The 27,610-nt window shown below is 45.4% G+C and overlaps 1 protein-coding gene across 1 annotated transcript in view, besides 1 other annotated feature; it reads right to left on the reverse strand.

Moving 5' to 3' along the window:
- The window catches only part of MYO5B (myosin VB), a 372,359-nt gene that overhangs the window by 38,569 nt on the left and 306,180 nt on the right, over positions 1–27,610 (reverse strand). Inside the window, exons 23-29 of the mRNA NM_001080467.3 lie at positions 19,014–19,098; positions 17,588–17,733; positions 16,406–16,525; positions 14,330–14,470; positions 10,810–10,875; positions 2,784–3,023; positions 1,870–1,970 (exon numbers count right to left, since the gene is read on the reverse strand). Of these exons, the coding sequence (NP_001073936.1) occupies positions 1,870–1,970; positions 2,784–3,023; positions 10,810–10,875; positions 14,330–14,470; positions 16,406–16,525; positions 17,588–17,733; positions 19,014–19,098 (899 nt within the window). The remainder of the gene's footprint in view (positions 1–1,869; positions 1,971–2,783; positions 3,024–10,809; positions 10,876–14,329; positions 14,471–16,405; positions 16,526–17,587; positions 17,734–19,013; positions 19,099–27,610) is intronic.
- Positions 17,860–19,059: an enhancer, noted in NCBI's record as "CDK7 strongly-dependent group 2 enhancer chr18:47405587-47406786 (GRCh37/hg19 assembly coordinates)". NCBI's record gives its function as "activates an origin of replication core promoter dependent on BRD2, BRD4, P300/CBP, MED14 and CDK7 cofactors, with strong dependence on CDK7, by STARR-seq in HCT116 cells {active_cell/tissue: HCT116}" and the evidence as "EXISTENCE:reporter gene assay evidence [ECO:0000049][PMID:35650434]".

Genomic DNA, 27,610 nt, shown 5'->3' on the forward strand with positions numbered 1-27,610 from the left:
CAATGGTGACGGCTCTGAAGATCGGGGAGATACGCACACCGCTTGTCAGACCAAGCACACAGCTGCTTCTTCCCTTCTACTTTAGTATCACCTGGGCTTTTTCTTATTCATCTCATTTCTTATCTTCAACCCAAGATAATTTAAAATGACTAAATCTTGACTCCAGTTTTAGCACTGAGAGAGTCACCTTCATTCCTTTTCTCCCTCCTTTAGGGAAAAGAATTATACCTCTCTTGAAATAAATTTAATTTCCTCCTGGAGCCTGTGACACCACCTTCAACTTCTGATTACCTACTCAGTGGCTGGAAACTGCCCCAGCCTGAGTCAGGCCTTCCGGATTCTACCTTGACTCAGGCACAGGCCACCCGTGGGCCTAAGCTGTTCCACCCCCCCGGGCCTCAGTCTCCTTCTCTGCAGAAAGAGGGACTGGATGAAAAGATCTGGGAATCAAAGTACCAGAAGTCTTCAGTGACTCTGTGACATTCTTGCAAAAAAACTTAAAGTGGCACTCACAGTGCCACCTAATGACATTTTTGGGAAATGTTTGCTATTTTCACCAATTTTGAACAAATACTTGATCAACATTCTATTAGTTGAGGTAAGAGAGAAAGGTAGCCAGGGAAGAGGCCAGCTCCATGTTTTTTTTTTTTTTTTTTGGAGACACAGTTTTGCTCTCATTGCCCAGGGTGGAGTGCAATGGCATGATCTCGGCTCATTGCAACCTCCGCCTCCTGGGTTCAAGCAATTCTCCTGCCTCAGCCTCCTGAGTAGCTGGGATTACAGGCACCCGCCACTACGCCCGGCTAATTTTTGTATTTTTAGTAGAGACAGGGTTTCACCACATTGGCCAGGCTGGTCTCAAACTCCTGACCTCAGGTGATCTGCCCATCTCAGCCTCCCAAAGTGCTTAGATTACAGGTGTGAGCCACTATGCTCGGCCAGACAGCTCCGTTTTTATAGGTGCCCACAGGGGCATGAGGAAGCAGATGATAACAACAGTATCACGGCAGTAACACTCATCATGTGCGCACCACAGGCAGGCACTGTCCTAAGTCCCTTACACAGGTGATAGGAGCTCACCCCATCTTCCCAAAGCCACAGGAAGGATGCCGCTATGGCTGTCCCCAGTTCACAGATGAGGCAACTGAGGCACCTATCGGTCATGTGACCGCTACTAAACCGTGAGGAGTGGACTCTGCAGTGCACCTTCTCAGACACTCTGCCTTGGGGGTCTGCGTTCTGTCTGCTGACAACGCTTGGCCCTGCTGCTGCCCTCAGACAATCACTCTTGCTTGCCTTAACCCTGGCTCAGCTTATTTTCGAGGGGACAGTGGTTGCTAAACTCACATCCAGGGAGATCTCATTTTGGCTAAGACGGTGGAGGTGAAATGCTTCCATTCCACCCCCAAGTGCCCAGCTTGGGTTCCATCTGTTCTGAATGACAGAGGGTGGGCCCCCACTGTGTGACACACACTGCATGCATGAGAAGGGCATTGCAGCAGATGGCTAAGCAGCCCTCTGCTGCCAGTTAGCCACCCCCCACCCCCCTCCCCAGCCAGCATCCTCTCAAGAAGAAAAGCTGTTCTCAGCCAGACCTTCCTATTCCACTCCTGTCATCCTCCCAGGGAAGCTCCTTTTTCCTAATCCTTTTCAGGGGACCTGGGCTCTAGATGCTGAGAGCGTGTTGCTCGAGCCTTGCTGAGCTAACAGTAGGGCAGGGGTTCTGAGTCAGTCTTTCTGTGTCCTCTAATAAATAATTCTCTGATGCTGAGCACATGGTCATCACCTGAGGAAAACCCCAAACAGACTCGTTTGGGCAGGGCCCTTCTCCGCGGCCTCGTCCAGCACATTTGACCGCGGCGGCCTTACCTGTTTGTCTGGCAGACCCCGTGATAGGCCTCAATGGCATCCTCCTGGTCAACATGCTTTTCACTGTTAGGCCAACTTGATCTGGCATTAATGTTCGGCTCCTAGAAAGCCCCAGATAAAAAAATAACTCTGGTTAAACAATTGCCACAAAATGGCTTTATATACAAACAGGTATAAAAACATGCCTTTGGGAAAAGACAAAGGCCTGGAAAGAACAGAGATAACCACAATCAAACCCACGCCAGGAACATGACTCCAAAAGGTCATCTTGGAAGAGACACAGAACAACGAGGCCAGGCTGAGACAGAGCTGCATGTGGGGCGGTGGGGGAAGATGGCCAGGAGGTGCCCCTGGGAGGAGAGAGCACCCAAGTCCAGAGCACACAGGTAGACCCTGGTTCAGCTGGAATCCTCCACACTCCTCAGCACCTGCTTACCCCAGCTGTCCCGAGGCTCATGCCCAGAAGTGGCTCAGGTTTTTAGAGCCCATGGAGTGACCCACGTGGCCTCTGTCCCCACCCTCTGGCTCTAGTCTGCCCCAGAAAGTGAGAACATTAGGAAAATACAGTGAATAGGACTTGCCACCCTGGGGGACTGAGGAGGACCAATGACTCTCTCCACTTCAGAAAGCAAACAGCAAGGGGTATAAGGTGAAAAGGCCACCCTGAGGTTACCTATTAAACATCTTCATATTAACTTCAGAAGAGTCCAGAAGCTTGTAGCTGCATCCCCCAGGGAAGGTCATGCTGACAGGGCAGCAAGGCTTTTGCTCTGCCTTTTTGGAGGAGACCCCACAGCGAGAGACTCTGCTCTTTCAGGTTTTAGACCCTCGTGGGTAAAGATAATTAAAAAAACACTAATCTACCACCTAGGGTCACCCCTCGGCAGCCCCACCGCGGGCCGCCATCTTGTTACCGCGTTCCTGCCGGCGAGTCGCCGCTGGTCGGCGCTCACGATCTGGGTCCTGAGGATGAGCACCTCCTCCTTGCGCACCTCGAGCTCCTCGTGGGCCAGCTTGAGCTGGTTCAGCAGGAGGCTGTAGCTATCTGGGGAGCCGTGGCTGGAGTTATTCTGCGTGGCTTGGTCGGCCACGGCTTTCCTCAGCTCATTCAGGTCATTCTTCAGCTTTTTGTTCTCTGACTCCAGCTCTTGCCTCTGGAAGACAGCCCAAGGGCCGCTGCCATTACTCCCTGCCCTAGGGCTCTCTCCCTGTGTGGGCCTCCCCTCCTCCCCTTCTTTTGTCCACTGGGAAACTTCGCTCTTTAAACGTTGACACACATGGAAAGTTCTGACTGCCATCAGCAAGCAGTCAAAGCTGGGGCCTGGATGTGAACTCATGACTTCAAGTCACAAGTGTGAAGCACCTGCACAATGCCTCCAGAGCGGCAGTCTCCAAAGTGATTCAACAGTGTTCGTGTTGCTAAACATGTTTGGCTGTGAAACTCCTCCTTGTGGAAATGCTGGGCTCACAATTTTAAATGACATATAGTAAACATAAGAATTCCTACAATCTAAATATGTTCACACGCTTTGTGACTTTCCAAGAAAAGATACAAGAATGCAGGATTTCCTAAACTTATTTGCCCAGAGAACCCGTTGCTCCCTATTTTTCAGGAAGCATCATTTTTGTCCCGGACTAATTAGACTTGGAAGATACACCAGGGACACAGTTTTGTTGTTTTGGTCATATAGAAAGCCACCAACTGTCCCTGTCAGCAGAGGAAAAATACCTACATACAGAATTGAATGTGCTATAGGAACTCAACTTTGGAACATACTTCATATTTTCTGGATAGTACATTTAACTTTGTGTTTGAGATGAAGTCTGATGATCACACACAAACTGCCGGCAGGACCCTGGGATACATGAGATTCAAAATTTCCCAAAGGAAACCCAAAGATGTGGATGAGTATGCATTGGTTGCATGTTTGTTACAGAGCCATAGCATGATGGAACCAGGGGACCGCTGGGGAGAATGAATCTCTTGATTTGCTGAGTGAGGAAGCTGAGCCCAGGGAGGGGAAGGCTCACAGCAAGTTTAGAGACTGACCCAGGACAGAGGGCCAGGGCTCCTGACTCCTGGTCCAGGGCGCCCCTGTGACTCCACCATATATGTGGTGATTTCCAGAAGATTTAGAACCATGCATAGAGATAGTAACTCTGCAGACATGATGAGGGCCCCAAAATAAGGTGATTAATAATGATCATTGATGAGTCACCAAGCCTATGGTGAGTCTATTTACTAAGTTCAGGAGTTAAGGATCCCCTCAGTGCCTGGGTGATCTTCTGGCAGCCAAGGCCATCCTCAGGAGAGCCAGTGTCACATGCTAGAGGAGCACTGGGTGTGGAGGCAGCCCTGGGTCCCCTCCTGGCTCAAGGTGCACACTGCACAGTCCTGGAACCTTAGCCTCCTCAGGTGTGGCTTAAGGGAGTGAGAACAGCTGGTGGCTAAGGTTTCCTCCAGCTGTGACAGGCCAGAACTGAGCTCGGTGACAGCTGTTGGCTGTGTGCCTGTGCTGACAGCCACGCCAGGCCCTACTCAGCTGTGAGATTGTGCCTCAAGACAGAGCCAGGTTGGTTGAAAGCTCTGGCTGTTTTTCAAGGATTTCTACCCAGGGCACATCTGTGACATTTCTATTTATCCCATTCTCTAACCATTCCTGGACACCATCTCCCCTAACCATACCTCACTGGTCCCCCACACATAACCTCTCCTCTCCACTCCCCTCTCCTCCCCCACAGGTTCACTACCATTCCCTCATCATCCTTTCTGGTCAACAGTGCCAAAAGAATATGCATGCTTTATTGTGGTAAAAAATATAAAACACAAAATTAGCCATCTAACCTATTTTTATTTTTTGAGATGTAGTTTCGCTCTGTCGCCCAGGCTGGAGTGCATTGGCGTGATCTCGGCTCACTGCAAGCTCCGCCTCCCAGGTTCACGCCATTCTCCTGCTTCAGCCTCCCGAGTAGCTGGGACTACAGGCGCCCACCACCACGCCTGGCTAATTTTTTTTTTTTTCTAGTAGAGATGGGGTTTCACCATGTTAGTCAGGATGGTCTCGATCTCCTGACCTCGTGATCCGCCCACCTCGGCCTCCCAAAGTGCTGGGATTACAGGCATGAGCCGCCACGCCCGACCTCATCTTACCTATTTTTACGTGCACAGTTCAGTGACATTAAGTCCATTTATGTTGTGCAACCATCCCCACCATCCATCTCGAGAACTTTTTCACCTTTTCCAGCTGAAACTCTGTCCCTATGAAACACTAACTCCCCATCCCCGCTCCTCATCTGCTGCAACCATCATTCTACTTTCTGTCTCTGAGTTTGAACCTTCTAGGTACCTCATATAAATGGAAACAGACGAATTTGTGTGAAAGACATATTTTTGTGCACCCAAATGCTATGCCATTCCAGTTGGAGAATAAGGGAGTCCCATTCCCCGGCCCTGCCTCCCACCAATCTTCATCATCTGCCTTCTTCAGGCCAGGCACTGTGCTAGGTGCTGCAGGCACAACACCTGCTTAGAACCTATCAATTACACTAAAGTACAGATCATGGCACTGCAGCCTGGAACACACTATGACATGAGTGAATCCAGAGTGACTGGGGAACACAGAAGAATGCCATCCACTGACTCAGAGGGGTAGGGCCAGAGGGTAAGGGGAGGGAACAGGTCTGACAGCTAAAGGACAGGAGCAGCTAGCTATGTGAAAAAGGCAGACAAGAGGCCTCCAGGTACAAAGGCCTCAGAGAAGAACAAGCAGGACTTGCCGGGGAAATGCTGTCATGCAGAAGACAGAGCAGAGCTGGTGGGGGTCAAGAGATTCCAAAATCCAGGGAAGGAAGCTGGATCCAGGAAAAAGCAGTGAGCTGGTCATCGCAGAGCTTCAGAAGGGTTTCCCTGGTTTGCATGGGGAGATGGGCCACCTGGCTGGAGTATAACGTGGCATGGCCCATGGCAGGGAGCAGAGGGAGATGTGAATGAGATACAGAGATTTAGGAGGTGGAACTGTCAAGACCTGGAGACTGCTTGGATGTGGGAAGTGAGTGGGAAGAAAGTCTAGATGCTTGGGTGACGTGTGTCATCTATTGAGACAAGATGGGGTTTCAGGGTTCAGATGTGTGCAGCTGTAGTCCCCACGGCGCAGTGAGCAGTTGGAATTATGGGCTAGAGATGGATCAGTATGTTGGTGAGGACTGAAGTCTTGGGAGGATGTGTGGGTGGGTGGGGGTGAAACCGCCCCGGGAGAGTGTGCTGAGGCTGGGCCCTGCACACCGCATGCTTCCGATTTCCTGTCCCTGGGTAGCCCTAGGTTAGCTGGACATTGGACTGGGCAGGAAACCTTTCTGTAGAGAGTTTGGGTGTCTATTTCTTAAACGTCAGTCCATCCCTGGAAAGCACTCTATGAGGATGACCACTACAAAGTAGATATTTCACACGGGATGAGCGTTACCACTGGAGGCGGCACAATTTTGAATAAGGGTTCATTGAAATTCTATATATAGTCAACACTATACCACCATTCTATAACTCTGTAAGATTTTAAGCCAGTAAAACTGATCCGTGTTCCATAAAACAAGCTAAAGTTGTGAAAATGGCTCTCACAAATCTAGCCACAGTAAACAGTAATGGATACAGCTTGTTTTAAAATTATGAGGAATTTTAATAAAATGGACAGTCCAGTTCTCTCTCAGAAAAAGCCTAGTTTCATCACAGGATTATTTATAAAAGTAAAACATGAGAGTATATTCATCAGTTAGAGAATGGATAATTGTGATAATCATGTCATAAAATTTTAATCAACCATGGAAATCATGTTTACAAAGACATGTAGAAAAATGCTCGTTATAGTGAGAAAAAAAGCAGAAAAATTATATATATAACAACTATATAAATATGCATATAAAAAGCATTAGAAATAAATATCCAAATAATATCAGAGACTGCCTTTAAGTGGCAGGAATATGGATTTTTTAAAAATTCTCTAGATTTTCTTGTATTTTAAAATTTTTCTAAGATGAACAGAATTACTTTAATAAATTTACAAATAAAATGAAAAATGTCTATAAAAAGGACACATTAAGGAGAAAAAAAAACACTCGAAGGATCTTCTCAACTGAGTCTTTTCTGATGCACGTTCAACATTGGATAAGCCAATGGCTGGATAGTCAGTTGAGGTGAAAAGTGTTTAAGTGCCAAGCTGGACTCTTAGTTCTCTATCATTCTTGCACAAACTCTGAGTCAGTGGGTACCATCTCCTGATTTGAATCCAGCTCTGGCTGATAGCAGGTCGATAAAGAAAAACCAACACTGCTGCTGGCCGTAAGCAGGGTCTGTCTGCCCAGCCAGCTTCCAGGTCAGCACAGTCATGGCTCCTTTTGGCTACCAGGCCTGTCTCAGGCACCAGGGAATGGTGAGCTTCCCCTAGAGCCACCCTTCCTGCCCTCACCATCCCTACCACTCATTCTCCTCTGCTTTTGCACACTGGCCGGGGCTAACAGTCACTGCAGGGAGACCCATCTTCCATCCACCCTACTCAGGCCTCCGGAGACAATGCTCTGCAGGAGTGACTGGCCCTGAGAACCCTTCTACATGACCTTACCCCAAATGGGGGCACCTAAGCCTTGTGCAGGGTACGTAGTCAATGTGCTTCTGCCGAGAGCTGCAGTTAATTTTTGCATTCCAGAAGGATCAGCAGAAATTTCTAAAATTCTGGTAAAAGGGTTTAAGCAAAAAATCACTACTTGTCAAGGTGTCTTCCTAGAGTAGCCTCATCTTGTGCATGTACCTGTGGGCAGCTTTTTCAAATCCAACTGGCTAAGGATCAGGTTGCAAGAGGCAGCTGAGTGGCCAGGTGTATCGACTCATCATCTTAGTGCTTTGACTTACCTGCTCAGGTAGAGTCTATAATTTTGGAGGGCACAGTACACTTCCCATCCCTTTGCACACTTCAGAGCATTCAGGAGGGATGTGCACAGCGGGAGCTCACTAAATATAAGCTGACCGTGTTCTGCCTAAAAGCCCAATTTCCATTATTATAAAAAATACTAGTAAGTGGTAATAAAGTCCCCTGAATGTCTGGGCTGGGCCTGGTTGAGAAGCACCCAAGCCAGCCTCTTCAACATGAGTGCTTCCTTACATGGGTAATTTTAACCCCAGGGGTCCCCGGGACCAGCCTCTGTGACAAGGCCCACAAGTAAAATCATTTCATCAGAGACAATGCTGGGAAAACCAGGTCTCACATCCTCAGAATCCTGGCCTAAGTCAACAGCAGCAGAGTGGAGCAGCTATTTAGACTTATGGCAGTTTAAGACAAATGTTTATTGCGCCCTCTCTGTGCCAGGCCCCATGCTTGGCAGTGGAGACGAGGCCTGTAAAATCAAGAAGGGGCATCTTCCTCAAGGACAGCTAAATGAGAGGAGGAGTTTTTGCGCTGATTTTAATGCAGGAGTCCGGGAGGCAGTTTCATGCGTAGGGTAGTACAGTGGTTCTCAGACTTGAGTGGGCAACAGAATCCCTTGCAGGGCTTGTTAAAAGACAGATGGGTGGGCCCTATCCCAGCCTTCTGATTCAGCAGGTCTCGGGGGTGGGGTACCTGAGAATCTACATTTCCAGCAAGCTCAGTGATGCTGATGCCATCAGTCCCACATCTACTGCTGGGGAGCTACTGGGCCCCTCTCATTACTTCTAAAAGGGTGGGTAGGATTGATGCCCCGAAAGTGCTACCTATAATAGTTCACATGCTCATTTTCATCCCCAGGCACTAAGCCTCCCTTGGGAAAGGCGGGTGAAGGTTAGCATGCAGAAGTCCCCTTGCTGCAGGCATTTATCCCACTGAAAGACTCCCAGGCTCCTTGGAGGGTTTTGAATCTTTAGAATATCACATGAGGAAAGTAAGTCTAATCAATAACTCCAGAAGGAGATCTCTATGACACACCCTCCTATGCCATCTGTGTGGCCCTGGTTGTTTAAAAAGTCAAATGGTGCTGGGAAACCGGACATCCACAGCAAAAGAATTAAGTTGGGCCCTTACCTCACATCTTCAACAAAGATTAACTCAAAGTGGATCAAAGGCCTAAATGTAAGACCTAAAATTGTAAAACTCTCAGAAGAAAACATAGGGCAAAAGCCTTATGACATCAGATTTGATGATTTCTTAAACATGACACCAAAGGCACAGGCAACAATATAGACAAATTGGACTTCATGAAAATTTAAACATTTTGTACACCAAAAGACACTATCAGAATAAAAAGATGACCCACAGAATGGGAGAAACTATTTGCCAATCATGTATCTGATAAGGGATTAATATCTAGAATATGTAGAGAACTCCTAAAACTCAACACAAAACCCCAAACAGCATAATTCAGAAATGGTCAGAAGACTGAAAAGACATTCTTCAAAGACTACATAGAAATGGCCAATCAACACATGAGAAGATGCTCAGTATTACTATCAGGAAAATGCAAGTCAAAACTACAATGAGATATCACCTTACACCTATCAGAATAGCTACTATCAAAAAAATAAATAAATAAATAAAAGAAAAGAAAATACTACGTGTTGGCAAGGATGTGGAGAAACTGGAATCCTTGTGCACTGCTGGTGGGAATGTAAAATGGTGCAGCTGCTATGGAAAACAGTATAGCAGTTCCTCCAAAAATTAATAATAGGATGGCCACATGATTCAGCAACTCCACTTTGGGGTATATACCTAAAAGAACTGAAAGCAGGGTCTCAAAGAGATACTTGTATATCCATGTTCAGTACAGCATTATTCACAATAGCCAAAACAGAGAAGCAACCTAGATGTCTAACAAATGGATAAGCAAAGTGTGATCCCTATACACACAATGGGACACAGTTTTAAAAGAAGATGGACACATACTACAATAGAGATCAACCATCAGGACACAAATGTTAAGTGAAATAAGCCAATTACAAAAAACAAATACTATACGATTCTACTTACATGAGGAACCTAGAATTGTCTAATGCAGAAAGACAGAAAGTACAATTGTGGTTGCCAGAGGTTGGGGGAGGAGGAACTGGGAAGTTGTTAATGGGTACGGGCTTCAGTTTTAAAAGATGAAAAGAGTTATGGAGATAAGTGCTGGTGAGATGCTAGCATAACATTATGAGTGTATTTAATACCATTGAACTATACACTTAAAAAGGGTTAATTATGATGGTAAATTTTTTGTGTATTTTACCACACTTTAAAAAATTAGAAATAAGCCATGGGAATGATTCAAGACTGTTCTCCTGGGCAATGTAGCTGTTACCAGAGTTATTTATTTTTTGACAAGTTATTTATTTTTTGACAAGTCAAGTGCAGCAGTAAGACAGGGGAAGGAATAGAACAAGGAGTTCGATCTGTAACAGACTGTGAACAGTCCATTGAAATAACTCACTACCTTCAGACCAACCAGCCAGAGTTATTTGTAGTCCTGTAAGTGACTGGCAGATAGGCTAAATTCCCACATTACCACGTCTTTGAGGATGGGAATGGGGTGGGCCTGTTCGGAAGCCCCTTTTCTGTGCATTCCTCCCTGCCATGGGACCCACTCACCTCCCACTGTTCTACCGCCCTGTCTCCCTGCATGCCAGCAGAGGACACACTGGCAGATCCCTCTGCCCTATGTCTACCCATGCAAGCCTTGATTTTTTTCCTAAGTGATTTTTAGTGGCCATATTTTAACTGAAATTATATTGGGTAGGTTATGTATTTATTATCATTCCTGTAGTAGATACAAATTTTTCTTCATTCCAAAGGTTAAGAAACTACAGCATGGAAAAGGGAAGCTACCTGCTTACTGCTCTCCTTGTTAGCAGACTGGGGCTCAGGGCCTGATTTCCTGATGCCCAGATTTGTCATCTGCCCTCTGCCAGGGGAGTGTTCCAGGAAGCCTGTCCCCCAAGAATCTTACCTTCAGACTATTGTAGGCCAGATCTGCATTCGGGTCCAAATCTATGTCAGTCTGTGGTGGTTCCGCCTGCATGGATAGAGACACAAAGATAAGTGCAGACCTCGAGCAAGATATTCCACAGAGGTGTTTCCAACTGTGGTCAAACTTGCTCATCCTGCCTGTGCGTGAATACCCAACACCCCCACCCTCCACAAGTCCACTTCCTTCCCACCTTCAAAGTGCAGCTCAACACTCCAGCCTACCATGAAGTGTTCCATCAACACCTCCCTCCTGTCCCCACCCCCACTTTCACTCACATGGTCCCCACAGGCACTTATAGGTTGAATATGTATAGCACTGTGTTATGGCTTGAATTTTGCCCCCCCAAATGATATTCTGAAGTCCTCACCCCTAGAAACTGTGAATGTGACCTTATTTGCAAATAGGGTCTTTGCAGATGTAATCAAGTTAAGCTGGGGTCATTTGGGTGGACACTAATCCAGTCGGAAGACGACACAGGGAAGATGACCATGTGAAGATGGAGGCAGAAGCTAAAGTCACGCAGCTGCCAGGCAGGGAACACCACGATGGCCAAAAACATGGGAAGTTGAGAGAAAGGCATGAAGCAAATTCTCCCTTAAAGCCTTCAAGAGAAGACGGGCTGTCAACACCTTGATTTCTGACTTCTGGCCTCCAGAACTCTGAGAGAATGAATTTTTGTTGTTTTGTCATCCAGTTTGTGGTGTTTTGTTTCAGCAGCCCTAGGAAGCTAACACACACTGTAAAACTACGTCTCTAGTAACAAGGCTAACAAGTTACGTTCCAATTTATGAGGGAGGAAAGCTCCCCAGTGTGTTGTTTCCCAACTAAACTCTAAGCACCTTGCAGAGAGCTGCTTCCTCCATGACACTACCGCAGGTAGTAGAGATGGCCCACAACACTCTGTAATGCTGTCTGACATCAGAACTCCAAAGCTAGTGCTTGTCTATGGCAATTTCTGGAATAACAACTCACTAGGATTCAGCTGAGCAAATAATTCCTCAGTTATTTAGCTGCTATTTGACTTAAATGGCCAATGAGAAGGGGTAGAAACAGCTTCATAAATGGTTAACTACTTGGAGTAATTTCAAGTAGTGGGTGTTAGTCCCTGATTAAGATGGATTTTTGGAGGTAAAAATGGACAGATCACTTAATGAGATTACCTACGTGCTAGCTAGCAGTGTTAAGTCCTCCCACTGTGGATGCACTAGCGTGCCCCAGGCTTGGAGACAGGAACAGGATCTGAGCATCTCCTGTACTCCTCCCAGCTGAAGGATGCCTACAGTTACCGCACTGTTTCCAGCCCTGCAATCTGGGCTTAAAACCCCTCCAAGGTACCAGTGTCTGTTTTGCCTCCACCACCACCAGTGGTATAGGAGGCTGTGGCTGTCCAGGGTCTGCATTCAACCTGCTGCTCCGGTGAGAGTTCTGTACTTGTGTTCTATGTAGCATGGATTTGCCATGTGTCCGTGGATGATATTGAGTACATTACATTCTCAGAAAGTGGAGGTCACCTACTCAGACTCAAGGGGCTCTATTAAGATGGGCTGGCAGTCACGTTCGTAAGTGGGAAGCCCATAGGAATCACCCTATTGGCCAAGGTGACTTTGCCAGGCTTGAGAAAGGGAGGTGGCTGGGTGGGAGGTCAAATGCACTGACTGTAGACTGTCATAGAGGCCCCACCCTCACAGCGCCTCAGTCACTTCCATACTGATGGTACATCCCATGGGCTTCCCTGCCATTCCTCACTCAGTGCATGGCCTCTCTCTGCAGTTGAGACCTGAGCCATCTCTCTCCAGAATGAAGACCCAGGTAGTTCAGGATCCCTCTTTGGACCAAAAGCGAATCCAAGAACTTGACCTCCAAAAGCTCCATTTCAGGGTGCTGTAGAGGGATCCCATACCCTCTCCCAACCCACACCTGCCTTTCCTTCCTTAAACTGTCAGAAACAAGGCCATTCTCCCTAAAGAGAGATCCTTAATATACATGACAGAGCTATGGCCCAGGCCTAGAGTTCTAACTATTGTTCAGTGGTTATTTTGGAGGAAAAAGATACCCTTTTTTATTTGGTATCCAGAGAAGTTCTAAAGCCAAGATTCCAAAATTAGCTGGCATGTCTGCAATGGGGAGCCTGGAGAATGAATCTTTAGGTACAGCTGGATAGGCCAAGAACTTGTACATCAGGCACCGTCTGATGTCATCTGTGTAGCTTTTCATAGATTTGATTTGCACTTGCCTGTCAGGGCAGCTTTCCTTCTAATTCAATGAGTCATTTAGAAACCTAATCTTTTCACTTTCCATTCTGAATCAAGTCCACCTGAGAGATTTAAACCCATCGGCAAGATTTACCTCCCCACTTACTGCTCAGGGGGAAAAAAAACAAGAATTTGCCAGCAATATAGATCAGAATCTGTATCACAATTGATTGCAAAGGGAATACAGGTGTTGCAAAAAATGACTGGACACAGAAGTGAGGGAAGGGGTAGGGATTGAGAACATGGGGTAGGTGTCAAACTCCACAATTAATAATTCAGGCCTGAGAACATACCAAAGGCCTTTTTCAAACCCACTATGAGTTCAGCTGATGATATAACCCATGGCAGAATTGGCCTTGTACCCTTTAGAAGTGGTCCTTCTATCTCCAAAGAAATAAATGGTTCTTTCCTCCTTAGCACTGCTATAGTCAATGGATTCTCTACTCCTATGGCACCAACCTGTTTGCACTCAACTTGCATTTATTTAAGTGCTACCAATGTTATTTTTTACTTTTCACCTGTGTTATGTCTGGTTCTCCCAGACGTAACATCTAAATTCCTCATAACATTTAAATTCCTCAATGGCTGGGAATTTCTCTTATATTGTTATCTGCTGTCCTTTAATGAACATTTTGTGTACCTACTACGTGCCTGGCACTGGCATAGTTCTGAATGCAGCATGGGTGCCCAGTAGTTCCTTGAGATGGAATGATTACTTTTGGGGCTACTAAGATTTCAAACAATATCCTTTCTAGACCCAAGAGGCTGCTGATAATCTGGACTGAGGCAAGGGTGCAGCCATGAGAGAGGAAAGTGAGTGACACACACTTGGTCTGCCTCTGACCCAAAAAGGCTGAACCCAAGCCCATGCAAGATCCCAGGTATGAAAGGGCGATAGGTCATCTCTGTGTACATTTGACTTCTGCTGTATTTACACTCTTATTACACACCCTGGTCCTCCTGGCAGGGAGCTCCCCTCTTTGCAAGTAGGTGATGATGCCACAGACTTCCCCCTAGCTTCACCAACAGAAACCCGGGGCATGAGGGAGCTTACTCCTGTTCAGCTGGGCGGTGTAGGGGCACTCAGAGAAGACTCAGCATGACTCCAATGCACTAAGTAGGAGCCCTCTGAGACTTAGCAGGAGCACAATCCCATGTGGTCACACATGCCACATGAGCCCTGGACACAAGAGCTAGATTGTTCTCTCATCCAAGCACCATAAGAGCACTGCAGCCCCTTCACGTACCTGGACTTTCTTGCTGTCCTGCTGTTCTCTCTTCTCCAGCTGCACTTGCAGCTTTTTCCTCTCCTGCTCCAGCTCCCGTACTCTCTTCTGCAGCTTCAGGAAGACCGTCATGTCCATGGCTGCCTTCTCCAGGCCAATTTCCTTCAAAGGAAGACAGGCACAGAAAAAAGGTTTTCCTAAATACATGCCTTAGGGAACACACAGCACTTCACTGCCTCCCTCTATATCAGCCATCTGTCTCCTCTCTCCTCCCAAACATCAATTTGCATCTCAAATACAAAGCCAATGACAACCAACTAACATTTCTCATATCACAGTTGGTGCTCCAGGCTCATTTTCTGTCCAGATAACATCTGAGTCTCAGCCATTTATATTCCTCCTGTGTGAGCCACTTAAAATGACCAACCATATATTCCAAGAACAAATGGATAAAAACACAGGCACTTTCTTTGGAAGTTAAAAGAGCTCACTTCTGGAAAATGGTCTCACACCAGAGAAACTATAGAACTTGGGACATAGCACTTCCTGATGAGGAATCAACATGGTTACCAATCACTGCAATGTGCTGTCAGCCATCACTTGATTGCATCTTGAAATGGAATCAATGCTTGCTCTGCCCCGGAACCTATTTATCCAACAGATCTTAAAGCATCTATTTCCCAGATTTTGTTCCTTTTGGATTCATGCCTGAGTTTGCCCTCCAGGACTCCAATGCGTGGGGATAGGGGTGTACAAACACGTCTATCTGCCTGTGAATGGGTAATGTGTATGAGCACATCCATGTGGATTTTTAAGCACATGTATGTACATGTGAGACAATATAATTTGGTTCCACCAGGATTTAATAAGCACTGGTTCCACCAAGGCTTCATGTTTAACCAGCACTGGACCAGTCTTGGCTTCCTTAAAGAACATAAAACCAGTGATGACAATGCTTATGTCTACATGTAGATAGTCACACATACAAACACCAGGGTGATAAGCCTGGAGTTGAGGCTGACTGAAACCTCCAAGGGCCTAGACTTAAAAGACCGCAATGCAAAGCCAAGCATCTCAAGCCAGCAGTTATGCAAGGCTTACTAAGTGCGTCTGGCAGGCAGCAAGCCACGCAGAACCGCACAACAGAGAGGAGACCTTCAGTTCTGGGGACCTCCTTCTCTCCCTCCACCCTCTGCTCCAGCATTCTCTATTGCTGATGGTCTCTTATTTTTCTTTATAGCACTTAGCAGGACCTGCAATCATATCACATGTTTCTTCCCTAACTGCTCACTGACTAGCTCTCTGTCAGATGAGGGCAAGGACTTCTCCGGCTCAGTCACCACTGTTTCTCTAGCACTGACCAGCAGATCCTGCACAAAGAACTGCTCCAAACCCATTTGTTTTTATTCTGTCTCTCCTCCATGTTATTTCCACATACTTTACAAGGTTCTGTGTGTACGTGCGCGCACACACACGCGCGCATGTGCCTGTGATTTTCTTTTCAAATGCCAGAGGAAAAATTGTATCTTTTGTACCTTTGACAAAATTATACAAAGACCACACAGTCCACTGTGTGGTATATTTAGTGACTGACTAAGAGGCTATTACCAACAAAGATACAGTCACCCAGCATACTTTCATTCCAAATATTTTTTGTTGTTCTGAGTTTTATCCAGCTTCTAAGTGAGGGGGCAATTTTCTTGTTTGTTTATTGATATTACTATATGCACTATGATATTAAGTGGGGATAAGTTGTATCTATTTTAATGACTTAGCTGTTCCTTCCTAAACCACCTATTTCACCTCTCTGCATCAGCTTCTTGGTTTTTCAAGAGGAATCAGAGATCCACCTTCTTCTTTCCTTTCTGGATAGGGTGTAAGGTGAACAATAATGTATTGCTTTACACAGTAAGTGTTAACTCCAGAGAACTGTCTCTAAATCCACTGTAGTCCAAGTGATCCTGCTCTTGAGAATTAGCCCCTGGGCACTCTGGTCACCATCAGCAGAAGAGTAAATTTCTCTTGGACAGTTCCACACAGAAAAAAACACACACTCCCTCTGGAGGAGGACAGTACCCAAGAGCCTGCATCACTCACCTCCACCTGCTGGAGGGCATCCTCAGTGTCTCCGATCTCAGATGTGGAGATGGAGGGGTAATTGGAGTCAGATTCTAAGCTACTTTGGTTTGATGGGTTCCGCCTATGACCTGGAGTTTGCTGTTCAACAAGAAAAACGTGATAGCTCATTAGGAACTAATGTTCATGAGAATTTACCTCCCATGGTGGCAGGCCCTAGAGTTATCCTTCTGCCTAATTTGTCAACAAGAATAGGTATCATTGCTTCTTGGAATGATGGCTAAATAAAGCTAGCCCTATGAAACATTTCACCTACAGTTCTTACTGTAGTCATCCACTTTTCATCTCTTAATGAAACGCAAATTCCTAACACTTGGGTCAATTTCTCCGAGAAGTCCTGGAAAAACCTTTCCCTCCCAGTCTTGCTCTTGAAATGCACAAAGGCAGTCACATTACCCACTTCTCCCTTGAAAGGAATGTTCCACACCTGCCCAGAATGGCCCCTCCCTTCAACCTGCACTCCTCAAATTTTATGAAAATAGTAGCATATTAAAAATAGTTTACCATTTATACTGTTCATTTAAAAATACTTTTTTTTTTCCTGCATCTGATTTGGCTGTCAGTGTGAAAATTGAGCTTGGTAGGACAATTTTAGACTTCTCTGGATGTTCCTATTCAGCTTTTCTTTCCTGGCTTCTATGCAATTAACTTACTCCATCTTGTTTGAATACTCATTTCTGGAGGAAATGTTTACATGGGGTAAAAAAGAATGACAGATCCTAAAATATCATAAAATTGTCTCTATGTATACTGCATCTCATCAGATTAGGAGACACAATCAGGCCCTTGTGGGTCTCTCTGCCACACACACACTAATGAAGCTGAGAACTCCCACACCCCATTACTGACTCAACACAGGAATGTTCCCGTAACAGGAAACAGGAAAGATAACACACTTGGGTAGAATGTTCCTTAAACTCATAACTGAGATCTTCATGACCCCAAAGTTGGAAAAGGAGCTGTCAGTAGGAATGAATCACCCAGTCCAGCTACCTTTGCCTCTCTGCAGTAATGGCAAGTGCTGCACATATGACACATGGACTGAGCATCACATATCAGAAAGCAGTGCCTGAGATCACGTGGTCAGAAGCTGGACAGGAGCCAGGGACCTGTGCCATGGCACAGCAGAAGCACCCCCCTTGCCTTTATGATGGTCATTTCATCCCGAAGGTTGTCGTATCTCTGCTCCAACTGTGAATATTCCTTCACAAGGTTCTGGTACCGGGATCGCTCCTCCTCCAGTTCTTTCTTCATGAGATTTTCCTTCACAGAGTTCTGGGCAAATTCATCTGGAAAGCAACACGCTAAGCTGCAGTTTTTCTGGATGGATTCCCTCACATGTATTGACTCATGTTTTCCGATTAATCTCTTGTTAAGAGGCTGCCCATGACGAGCTCATCAGAGGCTCTTGATGAATCTATTACGCTCCTCACCTACTGCAGAGCAAAGGTGAGTCTCATTACTCTGGCTTAGTCTTCAGAGAGGGAGAGAAAGACCCTGCTCTCAGGGAATGGGGAGAGAGAAGTTGGCAGCGTAGGTGAGAATTCCCTCAGTTGATGCCCCAGCCTCTCTTCTGCCAACTGTCACAGCAACTGCTGGCAGCATTCCTGGAAGAATGAAGGCTTATTCCACACTCCTTTCCTAGTCCTGATCTTTCAGTTCTTAGGAGTGCAGGGAGATTAAAGGCGACTGGGGTAAAAGGAAAGAAGGCAAATAGAGAAGGATGGGCTACTTCCCTGCCAAAACTTATTCACATTAACGGACAGAAAAGTGTTTTAAAAGGACATTTGAAAACAGTTCACATTTTCAAAAAGATGTGATATTGGGTGGGACTGTGAGGTCATGTGGTTCCATCCTCTTGTGACATGAATGAGGAACCTGAGTATGGGAGAAGGGGATTTGCTCAAAATCACAGTGAGTTGAAGCAGAAACTGGGGTCTGTGGACTCTCCCTGCTCCTCCACAGCCGAGTGGCACATGGGGACTGATGGCAGCCCAGGAGCTGGTGGGCACTTGAGAGAGGCTGACCTGGGATCTGATTCAAGACTGTTTCTTCAGTAAACATTAACAGATGACCCACTGGGTAGAAGAAACCATGATGCGTGGATGGACATGAAAGACAAATGTGAAACCCAGCAATGACGACAGCTCCTGAGCGCTCGCTGAGTGTCATGCACCCTCCTAAGCACTTCACGTGCAGCCTCTTCCTCATTCCTCCCATGAGCCCCCCGATGTCTGGACCTTTATGTCCATGTAGTAGATGAACAAACTGAAAGCCTATTCAAGGCCATACAGAAGCACACGGCAGAATCATGCTTCAAGTGCGGGCCTCCCTGACTCCAAGTCTCATGTACAATGTTGCCCATTATACGTGTCTCACCTCTTTACACTCTTGAGGCCAAATGTCCTAGTGGGATCTTAAAGGTCATTATTCTTCATCTTCTTCTATTAAAATCCTTTCCCCACTGTAGCCTCTAGTCTAACTGCATGCTTGCTAGGAGTCTTTGGGAGAAGTCAGTGAGGAAAAGAGATTAAAACCCCAAATAAAACTCAAGTGCTTTGGTACTTACCTTTAGACTGGCACAGGATTTGGTTGTTGAGCTGTTCTTTCTCATCTTTCAAGAGAGCATTTTCTTGCTCCAGGTCTGCAACTCGCTGGAAGAGAGCAATAGGGGAAAAATGTCTCATGATGCTGGGAAGAGGAGAGGCTCCTCTTGTGGGATTTGAATTTTAACTGGATACATGTAAATGCTCTTTTTAAGAAAATTGATTTGGTTAAAGCTTCTTTTGTTTTCAAGGAAAAATTGTGTACTGAAAGAAAAATCCCATTAAAACAAGACAGATGAGCTCAGCACTATTTATGGTCATCTAATGTCCACAAACACATCATGAAAAGTCTATCACAAGCTCACATGCCTTGTTGAGGAACTTGCAAAGATAACAGGCTTTCTGTAGAGAGCTGAAGGCCTGTGGATCGTGACCAAGTCAGCATTCCACTGAGGCTACATGATCCAATAGCAAACTGTTTATCATGAATGCAGGATGTGGGCAAACTCACATCTGCACCTGCCACCAGAAGGTTTGCTGAGTGCAATCACTCCCTGGCACCATGCTCCTTAAGGTTATCTACTGGCACATCTGGAGACTACTGTTCAGAGAATGCAGCTGTGCAAGCCTGCACCGAGTCAAGTTGCTGACTGACAACCACACCCTTCTCCCTATCTCTTTTACTCAATAAATACGAAGGGAGCTAAAAGCTCAGGGCCCTTGTTTACTGGAAGCAAGGAGCCCCCAACCCCTTCTTCCAAATATACTCTTTTGTCTTTGTCTTTATTCCCACATTCATCCCCTTTTGTTCAGTCCAACAGGGATTGGGTCCACATCAGCTTTCATGTTTTTGTATTTGTTTGCCTGTCTTGCTAAATTTTGGGCTCTCAAACCTGGTCTTAGGAAGGCCAAAATCTCACAATGAACAAATGATCTCTGGTCTTCAACCCACTTGCTTTACCTGTCTTATTGGACCAGCACAGTTCAAATTCTGGAAAAGAGATAACTTGCTATTGACACTCAACTGTCTAATCTAGTGCTGGACTTCTGATGATGTTGACAAAACCAAAATAAGGTGACTATTACCAGAAAAAAAAGGTATAAAAGAAAAAATACTAATTAAACAAAAATTGTAGTCTACTCAAAGAGGAGTAAGAATTAAAAGTGTGAAGAGGCCAGGCGCAGTGGCTCACACCTGTAATCCCAGCACTTTGGGAGGCTGAGGCAGGCAGATCATGAGGTCAAGTGATCGAGACCATCCTGGCTAACACGGTGAAATCCCATCTCTACTAAAAATACAAAAAATTAGCCAGGCATGGTGTTGGGTGCCTGTAGTCCCAGCTACTCGGGAGGCTGAGGCAGGAGAATGGCGTGAACTCCAGGAAGAAGAGCTTGCAGTGAGCCGAGATCGCGCCACTGTACTCCAGCCTGGGAGACAGTGAGACTCCGTCTCAAAAAAAAAAAAAAAAAAGTGCGAAGAAAGTTCTTAAAAAATGTTTTTGCTATTTATTATTAGAGCAACTATTTGTATGGGTTTTTAAAAAGTAACAATTCAGCTGTGTTCTAAGAGAATTTGAAATCATTAGTTGGTATAGAGGAGGATGGGAAAGGGTCTTTTATAACATGGGGGCTAAATTGCAATTGATTCACCTTTGCGCTTGGATCCCCTACAGATTCATTCTGCAGGAGGCTGTCAAGTAATTTTCCCTACTAAAATCACATCCCTGCCTTTGTGACATGGATGAGGACATAGCTGAGCATTGCAAAAAACAGGCAGGGAGAGAATGAGGAACACATGCCAGTGGCCCCTCAAAATTCAGGCTTCCAGACCTGAGATCTCCCTTCCCCCACGGCTGGCTGATCCGTCACCATTCCCCACAGAATAATCTCTTGTGATCACATCCTAAGTGTGGTATATGGCAAAGACAACAAGTTTCACAGCCACACAGATCCTGGGCTCTATAAACCTGTTTCCCCCTCTATAAAATGGAAACCCGGCCAGGTACCGTGCGTGGCTCACACCTGCAATCCCAGCATTTTGAGAGACTGAGGTGGGCAGATAACGAGGTCAGGAGATCGAGATGATCCTGGCCAACATGCTGACACCCCGTCTCTACTAAAAATACAAAAATTAGTTGGGCGTGGTGGTGCGTGCCTGTAATCCCAGCTACTTGGGAGGCCGAAGCAGGTGAATCACTTGAACCAGGGAGTCAGAGGTTGCAGCGAGCTGAGATCGTGCCACAGCACTCCAGCCTGGCAACAGATCAAGAAATCATCTCAAAAAAAAAAAAAAAGAAAGAGGAAACCCACTTCACAGAGTTTCTCATCATTGAATGAGATGACGCATGTGAAGTACCAAGCAGAAGTCACTGCATAGAGCAGTTGATCAATATATGTAGATGGTTCTACATTACTCTTACTGGGCATGAAATGGAAATACACACTTTAAAACCACTCCACCGCTTACCAAAAATTTAAACAGTATCTACTCTTTACAAATTCTTCCAAAAATTAGAAGGAACACTTCCCAATTCCATTCTATGAGGCCAGTGTTACTCTGATACCAAAACCAAAGAAATCACTAAAAACCAAACTACAGCCCAGTATCTCTTATGAACATAGATTCAAAAATCCTCAACTAAATACTAGCAAGTGGTTATGATAAAAACACTCAAACTACAAATAGAAGTGAACATCCTCAACCTGATAAAAATTCCATAGCTCATACCACACTTTATGGTGAAAGACTGAATGCGTTTCCCCTAAGATCAGGAAGACAAGGGTGTCTGCTCTTGCCACTTCTATTCAGCATTGTACTGAAGGTTCTAGCCAGGGCAATAGGCAAGAAAGATAAAAGCATCCAGAATGAATGCTATCTGCAGATGACACAATCTTGTATACAGAAAATCCTAAGAAATTCACTTAAAAACTATTAGAATAAATGAGTTCAGGTTGCAGGGTCCAATTTCAATATACAAAACTCAATTGTATTTGTATATATTTGCAATGAACAATCTGAAAAATAAATTAAGAAAACGATTCCACTATAATGGCATAAAATATTTAGGAATAAATTTAACAAGAGAAGTATAAAATTCATACTCGGTAAATGAAAAAACATTATTGAAAGAAATTAAAGATCTTAATAAATGGAAAGACATCTTGAGATAATGGATCAAAACACTTTTTAAGATGGCAACACTCCTCAAATTCATCTACAGATTCAATGTAATCATTATGAAGATCCTGCATGGCTTCTCTGCAGAAATTCATGAGCTGTTCCTTAAATTCATATATAATATCTAGGGATCCAGAATACCCAAACGATCTTGAAGAAGATGAACAAAGCTGGAATAATCACACTTCTAAATTTTAAAACTTACTAGAAGATAAAGTAATACAGACAGCGTGATACTGGCATAAAGACAGACATACTGATCAATGAAACAAAACTGACTTTCACATTGACAGTCAATTGATTTTTGACAACCGTGCCAAAACAATTCAATGAGGAAAAGAATAGTCTTATAATCAAAGGTGCTGGGACAAATGGATATCTACATGGAAAAAAATGAAGCTGGACCACTACCTCATAATATACAAAAATTAACTCAAAATGCATTAAAGACTTAAATGTAAGGGCTAAAACTATAAAACTCTCAGAAGAAAACATGGCAACAAATCTTTGTGACCTTTGGATTAGGCACAAGCCAAATACAATGCCAAAAGCACAAGCCACCAAATACAATGCCAAAAGCACAAGCCACCAAGTTAAAAATAAATTGAACTTCATTAAAATTTAAAGTTTTTATGCTTCAAACCATCAAGAAAGTGAAAGGGCAACCCACAGAATGGGAAAAAATATTTTCAAATCACCTATCTGATACATCAGCAGTCTCCAAACTTTTTGGCACCAGAGATCAGTTTGATGGAAGACAATTTTTCCACGGACCAGGGTGACGGGGGAATGGTTTCAGCATGATTCAAGCACTTTATATTTATTATATACTTTATTTCTATTATTATTACATTGTAATATACAATTAAATCATTATACAACTCACCATAATGTAGAATCAGTGGGAGCCCTGAGCTTGTTTTCCTGCAACTAGATGGTCCTATCTGGGGGTGATGGGAGACAGTGACAGATCATCAGGCATTAGAGTCTTATAAGGAAAGTGTCGCATGTGCAGTTCACAGTAAGATTTGTGCTCCTATGAGAATCTAATGCCACTGCTGATTTGACAGGAGGCAGAGCTTAGGCAGTAATTTGAGCAGTGGGGAGCGGCTGTAAATACAGATGAAGCCTTGCTCACTTGCCCACCACTCACCTCCTGCTGTGCGGCCTGGTTCCTGGACCACTACTGGTCCATGGCCTAGGGGTTGGGGACTCCTGTGATACATGACTCATAGCATGAGTATATAAAAATCACTTGCAACTCAACAATAAAAAGACAACCCAATTTTAAAAACGGGCAAAGAACTGAAATAGACATTTCTCCAAAGAAGATATACAAATGGCCGATAAACACAGAAAAGACACTCAGTATCTTATTAGGGAAATACAAATCAAAGCCACACTGAGATAACAGTTCACACTCACCAGGATGGCTATAATACAGACAGACAATAACAAGTGTTGGTGAGAATATGAAGAAATCAGAACCCTCATATGCTGCTGGTGGGAATATAAAATGGTGCAGCAGCTCTGGAAAACACTCTGGCAATTCCTCAAAAGGTTTAACATAGAGTTGCCATGTGACCCAGGATTGCTACTCCTGGGCAGATACCCAAGATAAATGAAAACCTAGTCCACACAAAAACTTGTACGCTGACTGACACAAAGAACAACCTCACCCTTTCTAGCTTAAGTCACAGGATGCAGTCATCTTCCAGAGGACTCGTCTCAACCTGTGTAGAAAGAGTCTCAAAAATGACCTCCTCAGGACAGCACCACAACACATAATGACTAGCAAGTGTGCAATGGCAGAGGGACTAATTGGTGACTACTGGGATTGCAACCTAGGAGATGACCACGTGGAGCAGAGGAGAGATGACCATACAGACCCCTGAGTACCCACCTGCACCCCCATCAGACAGGCACCTTTCAAACTCTTCTAGACTTCATGGCATTAAAACCCAGAGAGGTGGCCCTAGGGATATGGACTAAACCAGCAGAAGCCTAAATTGATATGGTTTGGACGTTCATTTCCTCCAAATGCATGAGGTTTGAATTTCAACTGGTTACAATGCTTAAATGCCAACTTTCCTTCCTCTCCTGGCTGTAAATTAAGCTCAAGGCACCAAGAGGTGAGTTAATAAGGGAGGAGCTGCCCCACCCTCGGCATCAGGTAGAAAGGGGCAGGAAAAAATGGCAACACACTGGAGCTAAGGATTGGGGTCACTGGCTCTCCCCACCCCAGGAACTCAGAAGGCAGCGACTCTCACTTAAAGGTGCCTCAGCTACTCTGGGGAGCTGCTGATGGGTCTGTAGTGGCCTTACATTAGGTTTGTCCTTTAAGGGCCCATAGAGAAAAGTAGGATACACAATACAATACTATTAAGGGCTTGCAAAAAGATCCAAGCACTTTGTTAACACCCTTTTTTTTGAGACAAGGTCTCACCCTGTTACCCAAGCTGGAGTGCTGTGGTGAGATCTCGGTTCACTGCAGCCTCGACCTCCCCAGGCTCTGGTGATCCTCCCACCTCAGCCTCCTGAGTAGCTAGGACTACAGGTGCCTGCCAACATGCCCGGCTAATTTTTGTATTTTTAGTATAGACGGGGTTTTGCCATGTTGGCCAGGTTGGTCTTGAACTCTTGGGCTCAAGTGATTTGCCCACCTTGGCCTCCCAAAGTAGCTGGGTTTACAGATATGAGCCACCGGCACCTGACCAACACTTTTAACAGTCTAGAACCCCTTCAAATTTAAGGAGTTTTTCAATCTTTCTTTCCCTTCAATTCAAGCAGACTCAGTTTGTCTCATCCGTTTATCTGTAGATGGGCTTCCATGAGTTACAAGAAGGAGGCTCTGACAAGCATGTTTTCAAAAGTTGTCCAGGTAATTCTGAGGCTCTAGAGGTTGAGAGCTGCTGGTCTTATGTCTTTATATCCAGCAGAACTCCTCACCCCACAAGTAAATGATAAGCACAGTCAGGGACTCTCGGTATGGAGAGTCAGGCAAAGGGGTTGGCTTTCTGCCCAACAGGAGGTCAAATCAGATAAAGGTGATAAAAATATACATGCATCAAACTAATTATACCAAGTTATTATTCTTTGGCAATTTATTTTGCCAAATAACATTTATTGCCTATAATATTTATTGCCTATAATAATTAATGCAACAGATGTTGTATGTCTTCAGAGGCTAAAATGTGACCTGGTGTTGAGGGCAAGGTACAGAAGAAGAAGCACCGACCGAGAGTGACGACGTTTTATCCGTAGAGGCACCCACTCACCAAGCCTAGTTCTGGCCCCTAGTATGACACAGGGCAAGGCTGTCACTCATCCATCACACATTTCCTGATACACCTCTATACCAGGAGCCTTGCCAGGGCTGGGGGATACCAAATGAGATAGACTGACTCATGGTAGTTGATATGGTTTGGACGTTCATTTCCTCCAAATCTCGTGTTGAAATGTGATTCCTAATGTTGGAGGTGGGGCCTGGTGAGAGGTGACTGGGTCATGGGGGTGGATCCCTCATGAATGCTGTAGCACCATCCCCTTGGTGAACTCATCCCTCACTGAGTTCACAATAGAAGGTGTAGGTGGCATACATGCTGTTAACCACAGCACTCTCAGACTGTAGTCTTGGCTCAGGTTTTAGATCATAGGTTGTTGCAATGAAGTCACATGTTCTTAGGTGGCATTCATAGGACTGGAGATTTCAGGACCCACTTGGTGATGATGTCATGCACTCTGTGCTGGTCAGATGGCACGTTCCATTTCAGAGGGATATTGACTGTGTGTAGGATGCTCAAAGGATGGCAAGGGGTCTTGATCTTCTCAGGTGACCTACTGCTCTGTGAGCCATCTAGATATTAGGAGGATGTTAAGGGGAAGCAACGTTTTCATTGCCCTAGCGTGAACTCAGTGAGGGATAAGTTCTCACTGAGTTCACGTGAGATCTGGTTGTTTAAAAACATGTGGCACCTCCCCGCTCTCTCTTGCTCCCACTATCGCCATGTGATGCCTGCTCCCCCTTCAACTTTTGCCATGGCTGGAAGCTCCCTGAGGCCCTCATCAGGACAGATGCCAGCACTACACTTCCTGTACAGACTATAGAACTGTGAGTCAATTAGACATTTTTACTTATAAATTATGCAGCCACAGGTGTTTCTTTTGTTTTTTGAGATGGAGTCTCCCTCTGTCACCCAGACTGGATTGCAGTGGCGCGATCTCAGCTCACAGCAACCTCTGCCTCCCGAGTTCAAGCAATTCTCCTGCCTCAGCCTCCTGAGTAGCTGCGATTACAGGCATGCACCACCAAGCCCGGCTAATTTTTTTTTTGTTGTATTTTTAGTAGAGACGTGTTTCATCATATTGGCCAAGCTAGTCTGGAACTCCTGACCTTGTGATCCACCCACCTCAGCCTCCCAAAGTGCTGGGATTACAGACATGAGCCACCACACCCAGCCCAGGTGTTTCTTTATAGTAACGCAAGAACAGTCTAATATAGTAGTTGCCCTCAGAGAGTGTCCAGCCTGGCAGGGATGAGGGACAGGTGCATACATAGTAATGATATCAATAAGGGCTGTAGCAGCTTCCTATAAAGCAAAGTTTTTCAGCCTTGACACTGTCAACATTCTGGGCTGGACAATTCTTTCTTGGGGGAGTAAGGGACTCTCCTGTGCATTACTGGGTGTTCAGCAGCATCCCTGGCTTCTACCCACTAGATGCTAATACAACACACCCTCCTCTCACCTTCAATTTGTGAAAACCAGAATGTCTCCAGGCACTGCCATACGTCCCCTAATGGCAAAATCACCCCGATTGAGAATCACTACAATAAGGTGATTCAGAAGGAAAAGAAGGTAGCCTCAGGGTCCATGAAGGCTTCACAAGAGGTGGGGGTCATCTGGATTAGGCCTGCAAGTGGGATGTCTCAGGCAGCTGAGGGCCATTCTAGGTGGGAAGAACAAGTGCCTAAAGGTCTGGGAGGAGGAAGGGCACGGGTTTGGGAATGTGAAGAGTTCTACGTTGCCAAAACGTGTGGTTGCAGCACGGGCACTGAGAAAAGTCAAGGCTGGGTAGGTAGAGGGAGGAAGAATCAGCTTGTGAATGGCTTCTCTTCCTTTGTCCTCAGGAAACACTGAACTCCTCTTATTCTCCTAACTCGACCTGGGTGGGCCCAGCTCCTCTCCCCAGCCTCTTCCCGCCCTCCAGGATCTGCCTGAATGTTTCACTGTTCCTTCTGACAGGCTCTGTCGTTCCCATTCTTTACTGGTTACTTTCTTCTCATTATTAGCTCTTGACCGGCACTCTCCTGGGAAACATTCCTGTACCACACGGGGTGGTGGGGTTGCCCCCACGCTTGGTGTCCTGCTCTGACAGGGCCTGCACATCCCTCCAGAGCCTGTGGGACAGCAATGCTTCCTCATACACCTGCCTGCTCAGCCT

This window comes from Homo sapiens, chromosome 18, assembly GCF_000001405.40.
Source record: "Homo sapiens chromosome 18, GRCh38.p14 Primary Assembly".
NCBI lineage: Eukaryota > Metazoa > Chordata > Mammalia > Primates > Hominidae > Homo > Homo sapiens.